The 24,795-nt window shown below is 41.7% G+C and overlaps 1 protein-coding gene and 2 long non-coding RNA genes across 6 annotated transcripts in view; 1 reads left to right on the forward strand and 2 right to left on the reverse strand.

Annotated features, from left to right (window-relative positions):
* ARHGAP19-SLIT1 (ARHGAP19-SLIT1 readthrough (NMD candidate)) overlaps positions 1-24,795 on the reverse strand; it is a 139,632-nt gene that overhangs the window by 64,666 nt on the left and 50,171 nt on the right. Inside the window, exons 9-11 of the long non-coding RNA NR_037909.1 lie at positions 17,510-17,608; positions 12,057-12,167; positions 11,440-11,518 (exon numbers count right to left, since the gene is read on the reverse strand). This is a non-coding gene — a long non-coding RNA (ARHGAP19-SLIT1 readthrough (NMD candidate)). The remainder of the gene's footprint in view (positions 1-11,439; positions 11,519-12,056; positions 12,168-17,509; positions 17,609-24,795) is intronic.
* On the forward strand, positions 1,266-13,531 carry LOC105378447 (uncharacterized). Of its 2 annotated transcripts, none has more exons than XR_946226.3 (3): positions 1,266-1,469; positions 2,088-2,216; positions 13,449-13,531. It is a non-coding gene; the product is annotated as an uncharacterized LOC105378447 (long non-coding RNA). The 2 variants fall into 2 exon arrangements; XR_007062257.1 differs by lacking the exon at positions 13,449-13,531 and adding an exon at positions 3,921-4,008.
* The window catches only part of ARHGAP19 (Rho GTPase activating protein 19), a 70,459-nt gene continuing 50,135 nt past the window's right edge, over positions 4,472-24,795 (reverse strand). For all 3 annotated transcript variants that reach the window (NM_001204300.2, NM_032900.6, NM_001256423.2), the window contains 4 exons: positions 17,510-17,608; positions 12,057-12,167; positions 11,440-11,518; positions 4,472-8,425 (listed from right to left, as the gene is read on the reverse strand). In NM_001204300.2, coding sequence (NP_001191229.1) covers positions 8,415-8,425; positions 11,440-11,518; positions 12,057-12,167; positions 17,510-17,608 — 300 coding nt within the window. In that variant the 3' untranslated portion in view covers positions 4,472-8,414. The remainder of the gene's footprint in view (positions 8,426-11,439; positions 11,519-12,056; positions 12,168-17,509; positions 17,609-24,795) is intronic.

Consider the following 24,795-nt stretch of genomic DNA (forward strand, 5'->3'; position numbering starts at 1 on the left):
ATTCTTAGTTTTTTTTTAATTGAGCTGAGAGCAAATAAAACACAAATGAGTTTTTTTTAATGGAACTGATGTTTGCTTTTAGGTTGAAACTTCCTAGCTCATCAAATACAACACAATCCCAATGGGAGAGATTGAGGTTGGATATATCTTCCAAAGAATGCCACTTTCTAAAAAGGATAGTGTTTCCACTGCAACAGTTTCAGTTCCCTGGATAGAATCTTCTGCTCATGTAAGGATCTCCCTTAACACAGCTATAAAAATAAACAGAATATTGCTGGGCATGGTGGTGTGTGCCTGTAGTCCCAGCTACTCAGGGGACTAAGGGAGGATCACTTGAGCCCAGAAGTGGCTATTCACGGGTGTGATCACAGAACCTGAACTAGCCACCGAATAACCACTGAACTCCTGTCTCCAGCCTGGGTAACATATTGAGATCCCCATCTCTAAAAAAAAAAGAATGAAAGGAGGGAAGGAAGGAAATGAGTAATATTTAACTGCATCAGAGGAATAACCTCTGCTTCTCTCATGCTTAGTATGCTAACTTGCTTTTCTTGGTTCTCAAATGATGCAATCTGACAGAGCTGCAGCTTCCTGGTTGAGGGTTATTTTTTCATGCCTATATTTAAGATGCTTAATTTTGTGATTCATTCTTTATAATTAGATATAATGTTTAGAATATATCCATGTATATCATATTCACATTTTTCCTTTGAGGGCTTTAATTTTCCCCTCTGAGCTGATCTCAACTGCAACCTTTTTTTTTTTTTTTTTTTTTAAGACAAGGTCTCACTCTGTCAGCCAGGCTGGAGTGCAGTGGCATGATCTTGGCTCACTGCAGCCTCCACCTGCTGGGCCCAAGTGACCCTTCCACCTCAGCCTCCTGGGTAGCTAGCACCACAGGCACACACCACCACGCCCAGCTATTGTGTGTGTGTGTGTGTGTGTGTGTGTGTGTGTATTTTTAGTAGAGACAGGGCTTCACCTTGTTGCCCAGGTTGGTCTCGAACTCCTGAGCTCAAGTGATCTGCCTGCCTCAGCCTCCCAAAGTGCTGGGTTTACAGGTGTGAGCCATGGTGCCTAGCCTCAACTGCAACCTTAAATTTGCAATTGCCATGAGTCAAGAGAGCCCCAGCTGTGTCCATGTGGAAAACTGACATTTCCCCCAAGGTCGGTGTGTGTGTGTATATATGTGTGTGTGTGTGTGTGTGTGTGTGTGTGTGTGTGTGTGTGTGTGTATATATATATATATATATATATATATATATATATATATATATGCATGCCCTGGACCATGTACAGTTGAAAAACATGGGTTTGAACTCCACAGGTCCACTTACAAGCAGATTTTCTTCCATCTCTGCCACTCCTGAGATAGCAAGACCAACCCCTCCTCTTCCTCCTCAACCTACTCAATGTGAAGATGATGAGGATGAAGGCCTTTATGATGATCCACTTCCACTTAATGAATAGTAAATTTATTTTTCCCTTCCTTAGGATTTTCTTAACACTTTCTTTTCTCTAACTTACTTTATTATAAGAATACTATATGAAATACATGTAACATACAAAGCATGTGTTAATTGACTTTATGTTATCCATAGGGCTATTAGTAGTTAAGTTTTGGGGAAGCCAAAAGTTATATGTGGATTTTTCGACTGTATGGGGGTTGGTGCCTCTAACCCCAGCACTGTTCGAGGGTCAACTGTGTACCTTGTTAGTTTGAATTACAGCTCTTTTCTAGCCCACTGGCCCCACTTTTTTGGTTTCTTTGCCCCTTGGGCTCATGATTTTTAGACAGCCTGTTTCTTTTCTCTTTTGCCCACAGATATGGTTCAATTGAAATAAGCACTCCTCAATACTAAGGCATTGAAAATAAAAACAACCTATTTCTGAGAATAAAAGAGGAGAGCTAGCATGACACCAGTGGCCCCAGCTACTCACCCTAATCCCGATTCTAGGATAGAACACTCAGGTTCTGGGCACTGGATGCTGATGATAAAGGATTAGATATTAATGATCAATTTGAACCAAGACTTGGTCATTGCTCAACTTCAATTTTTCTTCCTTTTTTTTTTTTTTTTTTATAGTGAAAATCAAGAGGCTGGGCCTTGAAGCATCTCAGCAAGCATGACGTCCTCTACACCATACCCTCTGGCCTGGGGTTCAGCAGTCTTCACCATTCCCATTCCCTGAACCCCTCAAAATCAGGAATACAGGTAGGAACAAAAAGTGGGCAGCCCACATAGCAGGCAAAGCTAATGGAACTAGCCTGCCAGGAACGGGGACTGAGAGGAAAACTCTTTACACGTTTCTGTTTTTCTATCTTTCCTTTTCACGTTTTTTGTTTTGTTTTGTTTTTGTTTTTTTTGAGACAGAGTCTTTACCCAGGCTGGAGTGCAGTGGCGCGATCTCAGCTCACTGCAACCTCCGCCTCCTGGGTTCAAGTGACTCTCCTGCCTCAGCCTCCCAAGTAGCTGGGATTACAGGTGTATGCCACCACACCCGTCTAATTTTTGTATTTTTAGTAGAAATGGGGTTTCACCATGTTGGTCAGGCTGGTCTCGAACTCCTGACCTCAGATGACCCACCTGCCTCAGCCTCCCAAAGTGCTGGGATTACAGTTGTGAGCCACTGTGCCCGGCCCCTTTCCACTATTTAATGCATGTCTACCTCTTCAGTCCTTTCTACAATTCAGTGATTAATGATTATGTGCTCAGTACCGTACTCAGCATTTTGGTCCTCTTCCTGTTTTTCAAAATGTCCCTCTTGCCCCCGCCACTCCCTTTTCTTGGCATCACCCAGTTTCCCACATGTAACTTTAAGAGTCTCTCCATGCTTCATTTTGAAGGACCTGGTTCCTTTCTTCACAGTGAGTAATACAAGCTGGCCCTTGGGGGCTGGGGAGAGAGGGACAAGTAGTTCTGAATAGCGCCTCAGAAGCTAACATGGCAAAAGAGGAGTGTGTGGGTAGGTAACAGAGTAAAGACAACTGTAGAGTGTTTATTTCTATTCAGGATTTAAACAACATCTTTGTCATCAAAGTAGCTATGTCAGCATCAATAACCTGCTGATTATAAAATTTACCCTTGGCAGAGAGAAAGAGAATTAACCTTTAATGAATAATTGCCATCTGCCAGCACTGTGTAAAGCTAGTGATTCTCAGTATTTTAATCGTCAAGGATTCCTCTGAGATTCTCGTAGAAGCTATGAAATCTCTCCCCTAGAAAAATGCAAATGTACATAAAATTTTACATAGAATTACAGGGGCAAACTATTGTCCTGAAGCATAACCACAGACCTTAGATTAAAATCCTCCATGCGAAGTCCTTGTTATTGAGATGTATACCGTTCTCCCCACCTTACAGATGAGGGGACAGGAGATTCAGGGACTTACCCAAAGTCACATACCTAATAAATTGCAGCCATAGGCTGGGCACAGTGGCTCACGCCTGTAATCCCAGCACTTTGGGAGGCTGAGGCGGGCATATCACTTGAGTACAGGAGTTCAAGACCAGCCTGGCCAAGATGGTGAAACCCCGTCTCTACAAAAAATACAAAAATTAGCTGGGTGTGGTGGCACACAGCTGTAGCCCTAGCCACTTGGGAGGCTGAGGTGGGAGGATCACCGGAGACTGGGAGGTGGAGGCTGCAGTGAGCCAAGATCGCACCACTACACTCTAGCCTGGGTGACAGAGTAAGATGCTGTCTCGAAAAAAAAAAAAAAATAGCTGCTATAGACTAAATGTTTGTATTCCCACAAATTAACTTTGAAACCTAATCTCCAATGTGATGATATTAGGAGGTAGGGTCTTTGGTAGGAGGGGTCTTTGGGAGTGTCTTTGGCAGGGCCCCCATGAATAGGATTAGTGCTCCTCTAAAAGAGGCCCCAGAGAGATCCCTTGTCCCTTCCACCATGTGAGGTTACAGTGAAGACGGCTGTCTGTGAACCAGGGAGTGCACCCTCAGCAGACACCCAATCTGCTGGCACCATGCTCTTGGACTCCCCAGACTGCAGAACTGTAAGAAGCACATTTTTGATGTTGAGAAGCCACCTAGTCTATGGTGTTCTGTTAAAGCAGCCCAAGCCCACCAAGACAGCAGCAGGAACATTTCAACATGAGCTGTCTAAACACACCTTCCTGCCTCAGATGAAAACTTCATCTAGGTTTTCCTGTTATTGTAACCATCACTCCTTGTTTTTAAATGAAGAAATAAAAATTATGTGAGAAACTGAAATCTATGTGAAGCATTCTAGACTCAGCCATGGGAAATTAGGAAGCTCAGGATCCCAGAGGCTCCAAATCATACTTCTTATCAGCCAAAAGCCCCGCTCCTCCTGAACCCACCCACCCACCTAAAAACAAGCCAAAGAGGAGCCTTTCTAGAGGCTTCACTTTCCTCAGAACAAGAGAAAAACTCTCTCTTCAACATCAACAGTCAAAATGTGAATAGACCAGTCAAATCCTCTGGATATGAAACAAAACAATTTTAATTTCAGAATATTACAAGAATATAAAAGAAAGACAATGCATAGGATCGTTTCTTTACAATTACATATACATAGTCAAATAAGAATGAAAACTTTAACCAAAACACTTAAGAAACCTTGTTTCTCTTGTTGAGCAAGCTCAGGGATAGGACAAAGGCAACCCTTGCTCTGCAGAAAGAACCCTGGGGTGAGGGAATATTTCCCCCAACAGGTTCTATCTGTCCCCAGACATGGCCAGGGGAGGGCTCCATGGCTCTTTAGCACAGGCTGTGGCCTCACACACTCCAGTCTCCATGGTAACCCAAGCACTCAGGCTATTATGTCCCACACCTCCTCGCTGGCCTGCTTCTGTCAACTCTACGCTGGTAGAAGATCTCGGCATTAGCTGTCTGGGGAAGCTAACTTCCTACAGTGGGTTTTAGTTGAGTTAATCACCACTGGTGTAAAACGCTTGTGCATCTTAGGAACCCAAATCTTCCCCAAATTCTAGACAATCCCACAAAATGCTAGTATCTAGGTTTAGATCTAGGTCCTGTCTTCCGTTTGAAGCCTTCAGGGTAAAGGAGGGCAGAGATAAGGCTCTCTCCTGGGGAAAGGAGTTCTACACAAAAATGACCTCAGAATGGGGGCCATTAGCCTCAAGCATCTGTGTGAGGCCTTGTAGGAAAGGAGACAGAGTCTAGAGACATCTATTCCTAAAAATCACCTGGTTGCATGGCCAGTCACTGTGGGGCACGTTCCCAGTGACCACAGGTTCTCCTAGACGGCAGTATTTTCAACTGCATGCTAACACAGGCTGCTGTGAGGGAAACTGAACAGAAACGTTCCTACTCAGGAGGAGAGAATGGCTCTGTTCTGACACTCTAGGATCGACTGCTTCCTTACAGGTCAACAGAACAGATACCTCCGGAGCACCCAGGTGTCACTGCAGTCAACAGCCCTCCACTAGCCCATTTCCCAAGGGTGTTCCCTTGTCCTTCCTGAATGACTCTGGAAGGACATTCTGGGTAAAGAGCTTTCCTTTGCGGAGGATCAACTGTAGTTTTGGTTACGATTCATTACCTGCTCCTTTTTTTACGGTTCGTTACCTGCTCCTGTTTTGGCCCTCAGGTACAGTCAGTATCTCCTGATGCTCTTTCACTACTACAGCAGGGTTTTTCACACCAGATTCATTGGTCCCAATGCAAAAGTCTATCATTGTAAAAGGTGAGAAATTCCAACGCCTATGGTTCTCACTAATTTAGTCAGTGGGGTTCACACAGTACAGTCTGGACCAGGAAGGTGGCCTGCAGTTTAATATGTGTATCCCTCTGGCACAAACACAAGGCCCCAAATTGACACCACATCAAAGCCCATCACAGGTGACCCCAGAAAGAAATGAAGTTGTAAAAGCCACAAGAAGAGGCACTTCCAGAGAGATTGTTCCAACATGAAAAACAAACACAATGAAATAGATTCAAAAAAAATCTTATAGATTAAAAAACTCTGTTAAATACTGGCTCAAAAACAATACCTGCCCACCAAATCAGAAGGGAGACAGCAGCCTTCTGTGGCAAATGATAAAAGGGGTTTTCTCTGTGTTTTCCGTAAGATTCCACTGGATTAGAATAGTTACATATTACAAGGTAGAAGGTTATGCTGCTTACTCCTCAAATTTGGATTCTAAGTCGATCACAGCTTCTATTAAGAAAAATGACCTATAAAACCCCTAAAGCAAGGGAAAACATATTCAATAAATAAACAAAACACACATAAACCACCCAAGGAGACCAGCTATATAAAGGCATGTGCATGTGATAAATATCTCTCTCATGATCCTCACCCCAGAACACAACCTTTGCTTATGATTCCATTCACCCAAAGAGCATCTACATCCGTCTAAATCTCAGCTACTTCCCTTAAATAGAATCAAAAACTAACACGATGACAGGAGCTATCAGGTCACCACTCTGCTCCCTCTACCTGATGCCAGCCCTGTTTAACAGACCATAGCACCACTTCGGGATGAAGCACGTCTAAACAAATAAAGGAAAGAAGGAAGAGTTAAGGAAGAATACCATTTCAATTTGGTGATACCCAAAGGGTTTTCTGTTTGAATTAACTGATATCTGGTGTAAGGGATTTCATTTTCTTAATAAGAAAAAAAAAGTCAAATATTTAATAGAAACCTACGCAAACGAATTTGCTAATATGTGTTTTTACAAATGACATAAAACTGCTCTAGAGAAAGGGGCTTCTAAGCAGTTTTGTTTTCCTAACCATCTATTGTTCACACTGCATTAAGCTGGAAGACCAAATTTTACATTTTTCTCCACTATTGCTGTTACAGCAGCAAAAGCAGCAGAAAGGCTGGCAGAGGGGGCTGCCAGCTGGGCACAAGGCCAAGCTCTGCTCCCCCAGAGTCATCTTTCATTTCAGCAATGGTGCAGCATATTCAACAGTTTAGAAATAGGTCAGCAAACCACATTTTGTGGGGCAACTGCTTCCCCATAGTGGCCTGACTCGGCTCCAACCCACAGGGTGAGAAGGGTTGTACAGCTCCACAGAGCCAGGCACAAACCTGAGCATTCCCCCCTGCTACATGCTGCTCTCTGGGCAGACACCAGTTCATACTAGGTCAAAGCCATGCCACTGCTCTATCCAACACAAGTGAACACACCAAATCCAAAAGCCAGAAGCTCTGGCCCCATCTCCAAATTACCACCTGTGTCCCTTCTGACAAAGAGAGGGCGGAACAGTAACACTCCTTGAACATTGGTGACAAGCCACAGCTGCTTCCAAATAAGAACATTCTCTCCTTTAAATCCTGTCAGCCCTGCAGAGGTTGCTGCTTGCTTCTTCTTTCTGATCCTAACTTCCTCTCAGGAGACGGTCTAGCCTGCACCCTCAGAGGGTGCAATGTAATCCCACCCATAAAGAGTCATCCTGGGACATAAAGGCAGCCAGCCCCCTCCTAGGCACACTCCAGAGCTTCCCCCACATACAAATATTTTAGCAAACTTCTCTTATGCTGTCAGTGACTTTCCTTGAGTCACAGTGATTTGGTTCAGAAGTATTACGTTGGCACCAGAGATGTTTTAGTCAAGAGGAAATTGAATGAAGATAACAAGTTCAGCAAAACACAATTATTTTCACATCACTGAGGAAAGGGAAAGAGAGAGAGAGATGGACAAGGGAGGGAGAAATGGAAGGAAGGAAAAGAGTTTAATAATTAAGATTTGTTAAAATACTGTATCATTCTGAATTCTCCTTTTTCAATACTGCAGGTCAAATACTCTGATGTCACACCCAAGAAATAATAAAAAATGTCCAGAAAAGCTATAAATTCTTTGGACACAAATTAGGTATTGAGGAATACAGCCTCATAAGATAAAGAGTTTTCCCAAAGCTCAAAGTGAAAAAGAGGGAAAGATATCTAGCTTAGAGCCCAACCAAAAACATGGCTTTTAAAACAAAGAAATAAACAAACAAAAACAACCAAATACCCAATACTATCAAAACAGAGAAAAACCCAAAATATCCATTAAAAACAACATCAATCCACTGGGACAGTGCTTTTTAAAAAATTACTGGCAGTTGAGCACACATTTCATATTTTTTTTCAAAAGTGGAATCTGCCTAAACACATTGAGTGAGCACTGAAGCCCACCTTAGTGTGCTGTATAAGCTGGTTGGATAGTTAGTGGTTTCCCCATAATATTAAAAAAGAGAGACAGGGCCTAAGCACTCTCTCAGAAGGCACAGCTTGCAAACATCATCCAGTGAGTGGGGTTAGAGGTATCAGTCGGGTCACGGTATTAGTTGGCTTTGACAATTCAAAATGCAGCAAGCAAGCTGCAAGTCCAAGCTTTGCTGTGGGCAGGAATAACACCTGCCCACTAAACAGAAAATTCTGCATGGACCATAGGAGACAACTCTGGATCCTTCAGAGAAATCCTAGGTTGAAGGAAAAACAAGAGCGTTAGACATGTTCTTAAATATTTCTTTTTGCAAACATCCCACTCAAAAGCTACAGGGTCTACACTTAATATTTTCTCCAAACTGAAGGCTAATGAGTTTAATTAAGAATGTGTGACTCTACCAAATAAACATCTGCCTGATATAATCTCGTTCATTAAATCATCTTAATGGCCGTAACAGCTAACAGTAAGTACATATTTTGTGCTGCTCTAAGTTATTTATGTACATTATTTATCCTCACAATAACCAGTATATGAGGTACTACTCCTACCATTTTACAGAGTAAGAATCTGCAGCCTACATAGTTCATTTGCCCGAGGACTAATATATAAGCTATTAAGCAGCAAAACTGGGAATGGAACCCAAGCCCAGCTGAATGCAGAACTCATGCTCCTACCACCACCGCCCCTCTCAACACTCAATGTTTACTAAAAGCCGACTCAGCACAAGGCACTGTCATTTTTCGGAAGATGAGAAGAACAGGAGACAGAAGGCCACAAATACACTAAGTCTGACCTTTGTCTTCTAGAAGAAAAACTAGTTACAGAGATAAGACAATATGTGAAGTAAATACAGTAAATCATACTAAGTGTCAATATTTTTGTAGCATTAATAAGTTCAAAGGAAAAAGTATTATATTTGGCTGTGTTAGCCAGAGAAAGTTTCAAAGAGGAGGTGAGATTTAGGCTAGACTTTGAAGAATGGGTAAGATTTTGACTACTGAAAATAATGGCCATAATAAGTAGGTGCTAAATCAGTGGTTCTCATGTGGAGATGACTTTGCCTCCTCACCCACCATGGGACATTTGGCAATGTCTAGAAGCACTTTTACTTATCACAACTGGGGGAAGGATGCTCCCAGCATCGATGGGGTAAAGGCCAGGAAGGCTGCTCATCATACAGTGCACATGGCAGCTCCTACAACAAAGCATTATCTGAACCAACATGTCAGTAGTGTGCCAAGGTTGAGAAATCCTGTACTAAATAATAGTCTTTTTGGATTATGTTGTTGATCACAGTAATAAAATTACATTATCTTCTTCAAAGAATATGTTACTTTTATTATAAACATCACTATCAAAAAATCTGAGGTTGTATATTCATTGTTGTATAAAAGAAATACATGGCAGGCACCTGGATCTGTGGGCTTGGAGACTGCCAATGTCTGAAGAGAGTTCAGACCTGGCATTGCCAGGCTGGAAGTAGTTATCATACAGAGAGCAGAGCTGAGCAGTGGAAGGAGACCAAGCTGCAAAGAGGCAGGAGAAGCAGGTGCAGAAACGAACAGAACTTAAGAGCAGAACTTAAGATAGAGCATTGAAAAAAATAAAGATGTAGTGGAATAGGCAAACAACAGTAAGCCACTGCAGATAAGGAAAAGAATTAAAGAGGAAGAAGAACGAGAATAATGTAGCATCATAACACCAGGAAGGCATTTCCAGATAGAGGAAGTGACCAGGAGAGAGTAAAGTGAAAATGCCATTGCCTGATCCAATTGAGGGTCATTCATTATCTCGACTTCTCTGAACTACTAACATTTTTGAGAATCTAATTAGAACCATATATTCTCTCCCCCAGAAAAATACACATATGTACCTACACAAAAGATTGCATCAACAATACCGGGAACTTTATTAGACCATTTAGGAAGTCCACAGATGACAAGGTCAACAATCCCTGCTCTAAAGCTTATTGGTGAAATATTAGACTGGTTTTTAAAAAACGTCTTTCTTTCTTTCCAAGGTAGAGCTGTCAATACAGAAAGGTATTATTTCCGCATGTCTTTCAAAAATGACAGCAACAAAAGTTGTAACTGATACAAAACAATGTAGCCTTCAAAAATAACTTATGCTTGGTTTTGATTCATGGACATACAGAAATATTTAGACACAAAAAACTCAAACCCCCATCTTGTCTCAATTAGACAGCCCAGCCTGGAAGACAGAAGCAACGAGGAAAGAAAAGAGAGTTTAGATAATTCATTCAAGGATAAGTAAGAAGAATATACTGAAATCTAATTTTCCAGAAAAGAATTTATCCATAAGGATTAGGCTTTTGATCTCTGCCTATTGCTGATGTCTCAAATAGTAATTATGCTCATATCCCAGTGATAAAACAATCATGTCAAACCAGACTCACTTCAGCTGCCACATGAGCCTTATATAACAAGACCAGGTTTCAGCCCGTTTTCTACAGTAACAACTATAACCACTTGTTAATGATTTAACAATGACAATGTGCTGCCAAAACATTATTTCAATTGAGCCTCATAATAAATTAATAAATCTGTGAAGTAGATGTAACTTTTATCCTCATTTTCAGAGGAGAAAACTTGAATTCATAGAGAATGGGTGGTTTTCCTGGGTCAGAGGAATGATAACTCCCATCAGGACTAACCACAAATCTCACGGTCTTTCCATTGACCCACTTGGCTCCTTCAGAGGAAGGCACAGCAGGCTTTTACCAGAAGAGCCTGGGACAATCAGCAGTCCCAGCATTAAATAGTCCTCTTTGTCCTAAATAGCCCCCAAAATATGCTGTATGATATGACTTCCAGGATCCTTAGGCACGAGCTGTTGATCTAGAAAGCTTCACTAATTAGGGCTGGCCTACACAGAAAAGGAACCTAACTATTCCATAAGCATACTCCCAGCACTGTTGAACTTGGTTTCACAAATTCATTTACACTTGTTTTTAATTTGCTTCGCAAGTATTCTTAAGGTATTTTCCCCCATGTGTCCTGTCTGTCCAAGAACACAGGGACCATGTGGGTCTGTGTTCACAGCTCTACCCTTAGCACCCAAGACAATGCTGAGTAAATGGTTCAATAACCATCTGGTGAATGAACTCAAGGGCAAGGACCTGGCCTTGTAATTTTTATGTCACTTCTGACTACAAATGTACTATCCTGGGAATTCAAACAAATGCTACTGACTAGATGCAGAAAGGAATTACATTTAGTAAGAACAGAGAGTAAGTACAATTAGTACCTTTTTTCCCCTCTTTCTTCCCTTCAGACCACTTCAATCTTGTTGGTGTCATCGTGACAGCTGGAGAGCCAGAAAATAACTGTAATAAGAAAATTGTACAGTGGTTTCAATGTTCTAATGCCATTCCTATAGACAGACTTTACTAACAAATGAATTATTTGTTCAATTTCAATGTGAAGAGTTTTTCTGAGACTGATGTATTTATATCTCATTAATCTTAACTGATTTACTGCTGGCTTAATGAAGTAGGCATGCCTAGGATATCTTGAACCACCACCCCACAGGTAATATAGAGCCTAGGAGGCCTGGCTCAAATGTCACCTGTGGAATCTTCCAGTAAGAACTAATTGCTTCCTCCAGCACTTGTTTAAGGAGCTACTGTACTGTACTACTCATCTGCTTGTGACTAGTGATATCATTCTTGAATTCAAAATGTGTTTGTTTGTTGAATGAGTCAATGAAAACCAACAGAAAGAAGGTAGCATAAATGAAAGGATTGAGAAAAAGCCATTTGAATGGCCCAAAGAAACACAGTAAAACAGATGACAGTATATCAATTTTCCTCTTTTCTACAAATATATACAGACAGACAGACAGTCCAAAGAACAGTGTCTTACTAAGTTCCTATTTTCTTTGCTGGTTCCCTTCAATTCACCAATGGCCACAGATTCTGGAGTAGGGTTCTTCTTTTTCTTTTCTGACATCATCTGATTTCCCAGGACCTTCCGCTGATTTAAGAACAGAAAACATTTGATTTATAAACACCTACTGCATCTACAGTGGAGCTATACTAGCCTTCAAAACTGTAATGTCCTTGGGTTAAAAAAATCTCAGCATTCTGATAATCCTGTATGGACCCTCTCAGGCCATCTTATACAAGAGAGGCCAAAGCATGTTACCAAAAAAACCCAAAATCATTACTTTTGTTTAAGTGATCACTTTTCCTCCACATTTAAAAGGGCTGAAAGGTTAGAAGCAACTTTATAGTTGATTTAAACAAGCTAATATAGGTCAATTACAGTGTGCCTCTGAGACCAGTTACTCACAATATAGAAACACCAGTTACTCATCATATAATTTTTTTCCCCAAAGATGTGCTGTCTCTGGCAACTATTTAAAAAGTCCCTCCCCCCTACTTACCACTGAGGGATACTTAGGCTGGCTCTTCTCTAAGGCACTTCTTCCTCCCTGTCATTTACTCACACAGGACTGGAACATTTGGAGACATTCTATAAGAGTTCCTAATATAGCCACAAGAAGGTAGAGGCCTTCTTAAGGGGGTCACATGACTGTACTGACATTCAGAGCAAGACTAAAAGCCCTTTCATCTCTGAACAGCTTAGAAGATGATGTAGTTTAGGTAACCGCCAACAGTGACAATTCTACCATCTTTGGAGAAATTTTTTTTTCCCTTAGAGAATAAATTTGAATTCTAAAAAAAGAACATATCAAAACTAGAACATTAAACCCTGCATTATAAATATGAGCAGCAATATTCAGAACATTCTGATTTAATAAATAATTTACATGAGAGGAGTTCTGGAGGAAAAAACTCTAGCCAAAAAAGGGATCCAGACAGGCTAGATGGTCAATTATACCTTGATAAGGCTGAGGGAAAACACAAAAATAATATTTTAGGCCGGGAGCGGTGGCTCACGCCTGTAATCTCAGCACTTTGGGACGCTGAGGCGGGTGAATCGCTGGAGGCCAGGAGTTTGAGACCAGCCTGGCCAACATGGTGAAATACTGTCTCTACTAAAATTAACTGGGCGTGGTGGTGCATGCCTGTAATCCCAGCTACTCGGGAGGCCGAGGCATGAGAATCACTTGAACCCAGGAAGTGGAAGTTGCAGTGAGCTGAGATCATGCCACTGCACTCCAGCCTGCACACCTAGTGAGACTCTTGTCTCACCAAAAAAAAAAAAAAAAAAAAAAAAAAAAAAGACTAACACATAGAGGAACATTTATCTGACTATAACTTTTCTGATTCTCAATCATCTCTATGACAGGGAAGTCAGAGGGAATGACAGATTCTTCCAAATGAGAAGAAAAAAACAAGAGTAAACTAACGATGTTCGTTTTACTAGCCCTGTCTAAGCAGGTAAATGCACTTTTAGGATTCTAGCTAAGGGATTTTTTTTAAACAATGATAAAATGAACATAACATAAAATTTACTATTTTAACCATTTTTAAGTATACAGTTCAATGGTATTAAGTATATTAATAGTGTTGTGCAACCATCACCATCATCTATCTTCAGAACTTTCTCATCCTCCCAAACAGAAATACTGTACCCATTAAATAATATCTCCCCATTCTCCTCATACTCTTAGCTCCCCTGACAACCAACCACCTTCTCTACTTTCTGTCTCTGAACTTGACTCACAGGTACCTCAGTGGAATCATACAGTATTTTTCCTTTTATGACTGGATTATTTCTCTTAGCATAATATCTTCAAGATTCACGCATGTTGTAGGATATGTCAGAATTTCTTTCCTTTTTAAGGACAAATAATGTTCCATTATCTGTATATCCAAGGTTTGTCATCCATTCATCAGTCAATAGACAGTTGGGTTGCTTCTGCCTTTTGGCTTTTGTGAATAATGCTGCTATGAATACGGGTGTACAAATATTGCCTCAAGACCCTGCTTTCAATTCTTTTGGTTATATACCGGGAGTAGCATTGCTGGATCACAAGGTCATTCTATTTAAATTTTTTAGGAACTGCCATACTGTTTTCCACAGTGGCTCCTCCATTTTACATCCCTATCAATAATGCATAGGGGTTCCAAATTCTCCACATCCTCATCAACATTTGTTATTTTCCGTTGTTTTTTTTTTTTTTTTTTTAATAATAGTCATCCTAGTGGGTGTGAAGTGGTATCTAATTGTGGTTTTGATTTACATTTCCCTAATGATTAGTGATGTTGAACATCTTTTCATGTGTTTCTTGGCCATCTGTACATCTTCTCTGGAGAAATTTCTATTTAAGTCCTTTGCTCACTATTTTTTTTTTTTTTTTTTTTTTTTTTTGAGACAGAGTCTCGCTCTGTCACCCAGGCTGGAGTACAGTGGCTCAATCTCGGCTCACTGCAACCTCTGCCTCCTGGGTTCAAACGATTCTCCTGCCTCAGCCTCCTGAGTAGCTGGGACTACAGGCACATGCCAACATGCCCGGCTAATTTTTTGTATTTTTAATAGAGATGGAGTTTCACCGTGTTAGCCAGAATGGTCTTAATCTCCTGACCTCGTGATCCGCCCACCTCAGCCTCCCAAAGTACTGGGATTACAGGCGTGAGCCACTGTGCGCGGCCTCTGCCCACTCTTTAATGAGGTTGTTTTTGCTGTGTTGAGTTATAGGAGTTCTTTAGATTATTATGGATATTAATCCCTAATCATAAATATGATTTGCAAATATTTTCTCCCAATCCAGGGTTGCCTTTTCACTCTGTAGATGGCAAAGGAAATTTTGATGTCAAGTAAGCCTAATGTCCTAGAAGCTACTGGCCCCAGGAGGTCAGGATTGAGAGTGAATTCTAGATATCTATAAATTATAACTAGGACCAAAATTACAGTAAGATGAATTTGTAAATGCTAACAGCTGTACCTCAAAAAAAAAAAATTACAGACACAGTGGCTCACATCTGTAATCCCAGCACTTCAGGGGGCCAAAGCAGGAGGATCACTTGAGCCCAGAAATTCAAGACCAGCAACACAGGCTGGGCATGGTGGCTCACGCCTATAATCTCAGCACTTTGGGAGGCCGAAGCGGGCAGATTACTTGAGGCCAGGAGTTCAAGACCAGGCTGGCCAACATGGTGAAACCCCATCTCTACTAAAAATACAAAAAATTAGCCGGGCATGGTGGTGGGCGCCTGTAATCCCAGCTACTAGGGAGGCTGAGGTGGAAGAATCACTTGAACCCTGGAGATGGAGGTTGCAGTGAGCTGAGATCACGCCACTGCACTCCAGCCTGAGGCATAGAGCGAGACTGTCTCAAAAAAAAAAGACCAGCAACACAGCAAGACCCCATCTCTACAAACATTTAAAAATCAGCCAGGTATGATGGCATGCACTTGTGGTCCCAGCTACTTGGGAGGCTGAAGTAGGAGGATCGCTGAGCGCCCAGGAGATCAAGGCTGCAATAAGCCATGATGGTGCCACTTGTACTTCAGCCTGAGCAGCAGAGCAAGACCCTGTCTCAAAAATAAATAAATAAATAAATATTACAAGTTATTTATTTTTAGGGCAAAAATTTTAAATTTTAAGCAAAGAGCTCCCTGTGTTGCTGGAATTATATATCTTAATAACAAAGTAATTTTTAAAAGAAAAGCAGGGCAAAACACCAAAAATAAAAACAAAAGGAAGCCATCCTCAGCAAACTAACACAAGAACAGAAAACCAAACACCACATGTTCTCACTTGTGAGTAGGAGCTGGCCGGGTGCAGTGGCTCATGCCTATAATCCCAGTACTTTGGAAGGCCAAGGCGGGTGGATCACTTGAGGTCACGAGTTCGAGACCAGCCTGGCCAACATGGTGAAACCTCGTCTCTACTAAAACTACAAAAATGAGCCAGGCATGGTGGCGCACGCCTGTAGTCCCAGCTACTTGGGAGGCTGAGGCAGGAAAATGGCTTGAAACCAGGAGGCGGAGGCTGCAGTGAGCTGAGATCAAGCCACTGCACTCCAGCCTGGGTGACAGAGAGAGACTCCATCTAAAAAAAAAAAGTGGGAGCTAAACAATGAGAACACATGGACACAGGGAGGGGAACAACACACACTGGGGCCTGTTGGGGGGTGGAGTGGGGGGAAGGAGAGTATTAAGAAAAGTAGCTGGCCAGACGCAATGGCTTATGCCTGTAATCCCAGCAATTTGGGAGGCTGAGGCGGGTGAATCACCTGAGGTCAGGAGTTCCAGACCAGCCTGGCCGACATGGTGAAACCCCCTCTCTACTAAAAAGGCAAAAATTAGCTGGGCATGGTGGCAGGCACTTGTAATCCTACCTACTTGGGAAGCTGAGGCAGGAGAATCGCTTGAACCCAAGAGGGGGAGGTTGCAGTGAGCCGAGACCATGTTATTGCACTCCAGCCTGGGCGACAACAGCGAGACTCTGTCTCAAAAAAAAATTAAAAAAATAAAAATAGCTAACGCATGCTGGGCTTCATACCTAGGTGATGGGTTTACAGGTGCAGCAAACCACCATGGCACACATTTACCTATATAACAAACCTGCACATCCTGCACATGTACCCAGAAATAAAAATTAAAAAAAAAAAAAAAAAAAAAAGATACTCAGTGCTTTTGGGGCAGCAATCTCTTCCAAAAAAGAAAAATAGAAAAGAAAAGCAGTGTATATAGCACTCATCTCTCTCCAAGTTAACCAAAACCTTGCCTTAGTTCATGCATGGAAATTTGAACCCCATGATCAAGTTATCTACTGCCACCTGATGGCAATATTCCTTCACTACATGTTCCGATAGTTTGAAGACTTATAAATTTAATCTGCAAACATGGTGATAGCAGCAATAACATAGAAGCATATTTTGTATTTGTTTTAAAAACAAGATTTTTACTGAATTTGATACATGGAAGAAAGTACAACAACTGTTAAAAATATTAAGCTCACAAAAATTTGGGGTATCAAAACTCACTAGCCTATTGGAAAATCCAGTTTTCTAACAGTTTCCCTAGTCTGTCTCAACTTCCTCACTTCTCCACAGGTTTACCAAATTGCATAAAGAAGTGTGTAACTCGAAGCTGATCAGAAAACAAAAGGGCCTCTTACACTGCTCAGGAATGCAGACTCTGTCCTTAGCCCCTTAGCCCCAGAAGAAAAGGAAGGACCCTTACTTCTACTCCTCACGTCACAGAGCCCCTTCTCTGATGTGCAACACAGCAAAGCACTTTGCAATATAAAAGCTTTTCAACATTTTGTCTTTACCCCCTTATAAACTAGCCCTTTATAGGGTCCCCAAAAAACAGAAGAAAACTTTTTATGCATAAGAAAAATCACATTGTTACATTTCCTAAAAATCAATGCTGAAAACGACAGCCCAGCATACCTACCTTAATAAGCCCACTGAAGGAGCGCGAACGAGCCCTCTTTTGTACCTGGGAAGTAGAAGGTTCTCGCCCTGGTGTCTGGGTCAATGATTGCTTATTAAACTAAAAGAAAACATGGAGAACATTTTATAAATACTTTCCCATCAAGACACGGCATTCTGTGACAACTAATAGCTAAGTGTAAATAAAAGTCCAGGAAAAACTGAGTCTGCGCATAGATGGATTAGGAGGTCAAAAAGCCAATCACAAAGTCAGAAATGATGATGCCAAAAGAAGTGGATTCAAGTGCTCTGAGGGGCTCTGCACGCCACATTCCTTGAATGTGGAATTACTGTCCCCATTCTACAGACAAAAAAACTGAGACTTGGAGAGCTTATGAAATTTATCCACGATCCCCAGCTGCTAACCAAGACTTTTTTGCAACAAAGCATCTTGGAACCACACAGTTACTGGCACAATCTAAAACAGTCCCTAATTTAACATAAATTGCATACAGAATTTTTTTAAGTTACTAAAACTCTTTAAATGGACATCTATCATGACTGCCTGACAACAATACCATCAGAGGAAATACATCAGAATGCAGACTTGTCAATGCTATCAACATCAGCTCTCTGGAGGTATCTAAAGTGGAAAACGAGAAGACCCAATGCATTGAATAATCTTATTCAATGCTTTGATTAGCCATTCATTTCCCACTTAAAAAGTAATAATAATATAGCATTTAACTCTTCTACTCTTCTGCCTTTTCAGATTGTTGATGATGTTGCTGTTGTTGCTGGAGACAGAGTCTCACTCTGTTGCCAGGCTGGAGCGCAGTGGCACAATCTCGGCTCACTGCAACCTCCGCCTCCCAGGTTCAAGCAATTCTCATGCCTCAGCCTGGCGAGTAGCTGGGATTACAGGCGTGCGCCACCACACCCAGCTAATTTTTTCTATTTTTAGTAGAGATGGGGCTTCACTGTGTTGGCCAGGCTGATCTCGAACTCCTGACCTCAAGTGATCCGCCCACCTCGGCCTACCAAAGTGCTAGGATTACAGGCGTGAGACACCACACCCAGCCTCTTCTGCCTTTTCTAACTATACTTTTAAAATTTCGGAACTGTAAAAATTTGGGAATTTTACCAGTTCAAGTTCTGGAGGTTAAAAAATTACTTTTACATAAAAGTACCAAGAGGTTCTCAAAGTTAATTGTCTCGGCAGGCAGAAAAATTAGCCACGTCTGAAGAGCTTAGCTAGTTAAGTATCCCTCCTGAATAAACTGGGACAAGTAAAAAATGCATCTTTCCTGATGGTGGCAAGGGTACAATAAGGTAAATTCTCTCATATCCAACTCAAGGGAGTGTTAACTGGCAAAATGTTCTGGGAAGGTATTTAGCAAGGTGTATCCAGAGCCTTTTTAAAATGCATATTAAAAAGTACATGCCACTAAAAATACAAAAAATTAGCCGGGCATGGTGGTGTACATCTGTAGTCTCAGCTACTCGGGAGGCTGTGGTGGGAGGATCATGATCACCTGAGCCCAGGGAGGTCGAGGCTGCAGTGAGCCATGATTGTGCCACTGCACTCCAGCCTGGGCAACAGACTCAGAAAAAAAAAAAAAAAAAAAAAATACACCACATATAAAGTGTTCTTAGCCTGAAAAACTGAATTAGAATCAGATCAAGCCTCTAGAAATAGATCTAACTACCAGTTTATAGCATGAACACAGGACTGTGAAACATGTTGAATAACATTACAGGAATGCAATCATTAAAATCCAGAATATAGGCCAAGCATGGTGGCTCATGCCTGTAATCTCAGCACTTTGGGAGGCCAAAGCCAGCAGATCACTTGAGCTCAAGAGTTCATGACCAGCCTGGGCAACATGGCGAAACCCTGTCTCTACAAAAAATACAAAAATTAGCCAGGCATGGTGGCACATGCCTGTAGTCCCGGCTACTCAGGAGGCTGAAGTGGGAGGATGGCTTGAACCCAGGAGGCAGAGGTTGCAGTGAGCTGAGATCAATCACGTCATTCCAGTCTAGGCAACAGAGCTAGACCTTGTCTCAAAAAAAAAAAAAAAAAAACTCAGTCTACGGAAAACAATATAGTTTCTTCCACAAATAAGGTTCAGATAAAATCATGCACCACATAATGACATTTTGGTCAATGACAGACCACGTATATGACAGTAGGTCCCATCAGATTATAATGGAGGTGAAAAATTCCTATCACCTCATGATATCACTGCTGTCCTAACATCACAGCGCAATGTGTTACTCAAGTGACTGCAGTGATGCTGGAATAAACAAACCTACTGTGCTGGAAGCTGTATAAAAGTCTAGTACATACCATTATATACAGTACATAATTCTTGATAATGATAATAAATGGGCTAGATGTGGCAGCTCACACCTATAATCCCAACACTTTAGGAGGCCAAGACAGGTGGGTCACTTGAGACCAGGAGTTCAAGACCAGCCTGGCCAACAGGGTGAAACCTCATCTGTACTAAAAATACAAAAATTAGCTGGGCGTGGTGGTGGGCGCCTGTAATCCCAGCTACTCGGGAGGCTGAGGCAGGAGAATCGCTTGAACCTGGGAGGCAGAGGTTGCAGTGAGCCAAGTCTGCGTCATTGCACTCCAGCCTGGGCGAAAGAGCGAGACTCTATCTCCAAAAAAAAACAAAAAACAAAAAAACAAAACAACAATAATGTTACTGGTTTATGTATTTACCATACTATACTTTTATCATCATTTATACCTTTTACCATTATTTTAGAGTGCACTCCTACTTATTTTTTTTTAAAGTTAACTATAAAACAGCCTCAGGCAAGTCTTTCAGGAGGTATTCTAGAAAAAGGCATTGTTATCATAGGAGATGACAGCTCCATGAGTGATATTGCCTCTGAAGACCTTCTAGTGGAATAAGATGTAGAGGCAGAAGACAGTGATATTAATGATCCTGTGTAGGCCTAGGTTAATGTGTATATTTGTGTCTTCAGTTTTGGAGTTTTTTTATTTTTTAGAGACGGGGTCTCGCTCTGTTGCCCAGGCTGGAGTGCAGTGGTGCGGATCATAGCTCACCGCAGCCCCAAACTCCTGGGCTCAAGCGATTCTTCCTGCTGAGGCTGAGGCTGAGGCCTCCTGTGTAGCTAGGACTACAGGCACACACTAACGAGACCAGTTAATTTTTTTAAATATTTTGTGGATACAAGGTCAATGCTGCCCAGGGTGGTCTCGAACTCCTGGCTTAAAGCAGTCCTCCCACTTTGGCCTCCCAAAGTGCTGGGATTACAGGAGTGAGCTACCACGCCCAGCCTGTGTCTTAATTTTTAATTAAAAAGTATTAAAATTTACAAACAAATTAAAAGTTTTTAAAATAGAAAAAAGCTTATAGCATAAAGATATTCAGAAAATATTTTGTACAGATGCATAGTGTTTTTGTGTTTTAAGCTAAGTGTTATTACAAGAGTCAGAAAGTTAAAAAAGTTTTAAGTCTGTAAAGTAAAAAAGTTACAGTAAGCTAAAGGTAATTAATTATTGAAGAAAAAAATTTTATAAATTTAGTCTAGCCTAAGTGTACAGTGATTATAAAGTCTACAGTCGTGTCAGCAATGTCCTAGGTCTTCACATTCACTCACCACTCACTTACTGACACACCTAGAGTAACTTCCAATCCTGCAAGCTCCATTCATGGTAACTGCCCTATACAGGTGTACTATTTTTTATCTTTTATACTGTATTTTTACTGTACCTTTCCTTTGTTTAGATACACAAATACTTACCATTGTTACAATTGCCTACAGTACTCAGTACAGTAACATCCTCTACAGGTTTGTAGCCCAGAAGCAACAGGCTATACCATACAGCCTAGGTGTGTACTAAGCTACGCCATCTAGGTTTATGTAAGTACACTCTATGATGTTCACACAACAATGAAATCACCTAAAAACACATTTCTTAGAACATATCCCAATCATCAAGTGATACGTGACTATAAAGAAAAAGGGAGTGGGCCGGGAGCGGTGGCTCACGCCTGTAATCCCAACACTTTGGGAGGCCGAGGTGGGGGGATCACAAGGTCAGGAGAACGAGACCATCCTGGCCAACATGGTGAAACCCCGTCTCTACTAAAATACAAAAAAAAATTAGCCAGGCATGGTGGCACGCGCCTGTAGTCCCAGCTACTCTGGAGGCTGAGGCAGGGGAATTGCTTGAACCCAGGAGGCGGAGATTGCAGTGAGCCGAGATCGGAGATCGTGCCACTGCACTCCAGCCTGATGACAGAGCGAGACTCCGTCTCAAAAAAAAAAAGAAAAATAAGAAAAAGGGAGTGAGAGAGAGAGAGAGAGGGTGTGTGTGTGTGTGTGTGTGTGTGTGTGTGTGTGTGTGTGTGTGTGTGTGTCTAAATGTAGTGTGGCACCCTGGATTGGATCCTGGAGCAAAAAAAAAGATATTAGGGGAAAAAAAAGTAAAATCTGTAATGTTAGTAAGTAATGTACCAATTTTTTGTTTTCTTTTTTTTTTGACATGAGTTTCACTCTTGTTGCCCAGGCTGGAGTGCAATGGCATGACCTCGGCTCACAGCAACCTCTGCCTCCCTGGTTCAAGTGATTCTCCTGCCTCAGCCTCCCGAGTAGCTGGGATTACAGGCCTGAGCCACCATGCCTGGCTAATTTTGTATTTTTAGTAGAGACGGGGTTTCTCCATGTTGGTCAGGCTCGTCTCGAACTCCCGACCTCAGGTGACCGGCCTGCCTCAGCCTCCTAAAGTGCTGGGGTTACAGGCATGAGCCACCCTGCTCGGCCCTGTACTAATGTTAATTTCTTAGTTTTTATAATGTTAATATTAGGGGGAATTGGGTAAAGGGTACTTACCCAGTTTTTATTTTAAAGTTTATTTAAGCAAACTGGCAATGTTTTAAGGGGGAAAAAAAAAAGAAGAAAGGGAGAAAAAGAGGCACTTATCTATTAAAAGGGACCTAGTACACGTAGCAGCCAAAAAAATAATGCATATTCGTTTATCATGCCACTTCTAGAAAATAATCTACAATGAAAATACTTATGAACAAAAATTTATAAACTAAAAACCTAATTCCCAAATATGCCCAGTAGTAGGCAAATTATGTATAAATTTGGTTACACAGAATAGAATATTATATAAACATTTAAGGTTGGGCATGGTGACTCATGCCTGTAATCCCAACACTTTGGGAGCCCAAGGCAGGCAGATCACCTGAGGCGAGGAGTTCAAGACCAGCCTGGCCAATATGGCATAATCCCGTCTCTACTAAAAATACAAAATTAGCCAGGCATGGTGGTGCTCCACTATAATCTCAGTTACTCGGGAGGTTGAGGCAGGAGAATTGCTTGAGCCCAGGAGGTGGAGGCTGCAGTCAGGCGAGATCACGCCACTGCACTCCAGCCTAGGCGACAGAGCAGAACTCTGTCTCAAATAAAGAATATTATGTAAACATTTAAAATGTTCGTAGCCTTTTAATAACATGAGAAATGTTTGTAATATAAAGTTAAATGAAAAGGGTAGAATATAAAACAATATACATTATGATTTTTTCTTTTGGCCCAGATGTAAGGGCTCAAATATGATCTTAAGTAAACGAAAACAATGTGAAACATATATTCATGGAGAGAAACACTAGGAGGAAATACTCTAAAATGTTATCAGTGGTTACCTCTGGATGTGTGTAGGTGATTTTTATGTTCTTCTTTACACACTTCTGCGGGTTTCAATGTTTCTATAGTGAGCATGTATAATTTTTATAATCATGGAGAAAAAATTAGAAAACAATAAAATTATAGTTTCTTCAAAAAGATACAGCAGGCTGGGTGCGGTGGCTCACGCCTGTAATACCAGCACTTTGGGAGGCCAAGGCAGGTGGATCATTTGGGGTCAGGAGTTCAAGAACAGCCTGACAAACATGGTGAAACCCCATCTCTACTAAAAATACAAAAACATTAGCCGGGCATGGTGGCGCATGCCTGTAATCCCAGCTACTCGGGGGAGGCTGAAGCAGGAGAATTGCTTGAACCCAGGAGGCGGAGGTTGCAGTGAGCTGAGATTGAGCCACTATACTCAAATATGATCTTTTACTTAAGATCATATTTACTTAAGATCATATTTGAGCCCTTACATCTACACTCCAGCCTGGGCAACAGAGCGAGACTCCATCTTTAAAAAAAAGAAAGATAGAGTATTTAAAACATATGGAAGGATGGCCAGGTGCGGTGGCTCACACCTGTAATCCCAGAACTTTGGGAGGCCGAGGCAGGTGATCACTTGAGGTCAGGAGTTCAAGACCAGCCTGGCCAACATGGTGAAACTCCATCTTTACTAAAAATGCAAAATTAGTCAGGCGTTGTGACACATGCATGTAGTCCTAGCTATTCAGCAGGCTGAGGCAGGAGGATTGCTTGAACCCAGGAGGCAGAGGTGGCAGTGAGCCGAGATCGCACCACTGCACTCCAGCCTGGGCAACAGAGCGAGACTCTGTCTCAAAAAAATAAAAATAGGCCGGGTGCAGTGGCTCAAGCCTATAATCCCAGCACTTTGGGAGGCCGAGGTGGGCGGATCACAAGGTTAGGAGATCAAGACCATCCTGGCTAACACGGTGAAACCCCGTTTCTACTAAAAATACAAAAAAATTAGCCGGGCATGGTGGCGGGCACCTGTAGTCCCAGCTACTCAGGAGGCTGAGGCAGGAGAATGGCGTGAACCCAGGAGGCGGAGCTTGCAGTGAGTGGAGATTGCGCCACTGCATTCCAGCCTGGGCGACAGAGTGAGACTCTGCCTCAAAAAAAAAAAAAAATAATAATAATAATAATTAATAAATAAATAAAAAATAAAATGTATGGAAGGAGTCTGCATGCATGCATAAGAAATGCTTAGACTGTCATGTTTAGTGAAAAAAGGAAAAAATTTTAAAGTATATGATATGATCATAACTATGTAAAAAGATATCCAGAGGAAAAAGACCAAAAGAAATGCCCACAACATAAACACTGGCAGGAAGAGTGATTTGCTTTCTTCTTATCCTTCTCTATAATTTTCTGTTTTTCTAAAAAGTGCAAAACGTTTTTTTCTTTTTTATCTTTAAGTATCAGTGTTCTTTTTTTTTTTTTTTTTTTTTTTTTTGAGACGGGGTTTCGCTCTTGTTGCCCAGGCTGGAGTGCAATAGCACGATCTCAGCTCACCGCAACCTCCACCTCCCGGGCTCAAGCAATTCTCCTGCCTCAGCCTCCGGAATAGCTGGGATTATAGGCATGTGCCACCACACCCGGCTAATT

This window comes from Homo sapiens, chromosome 10, assembly GCF_000001405.40.
Source record: "Homo sapiens chromosome 10, GRCh38.p14 Primary Assembly".
Lineage (NCBI taxonomy): Eukaryota > Metazoa > Chordata > Mammalia > Primates > Hominidae > Homo > Homo sapiens.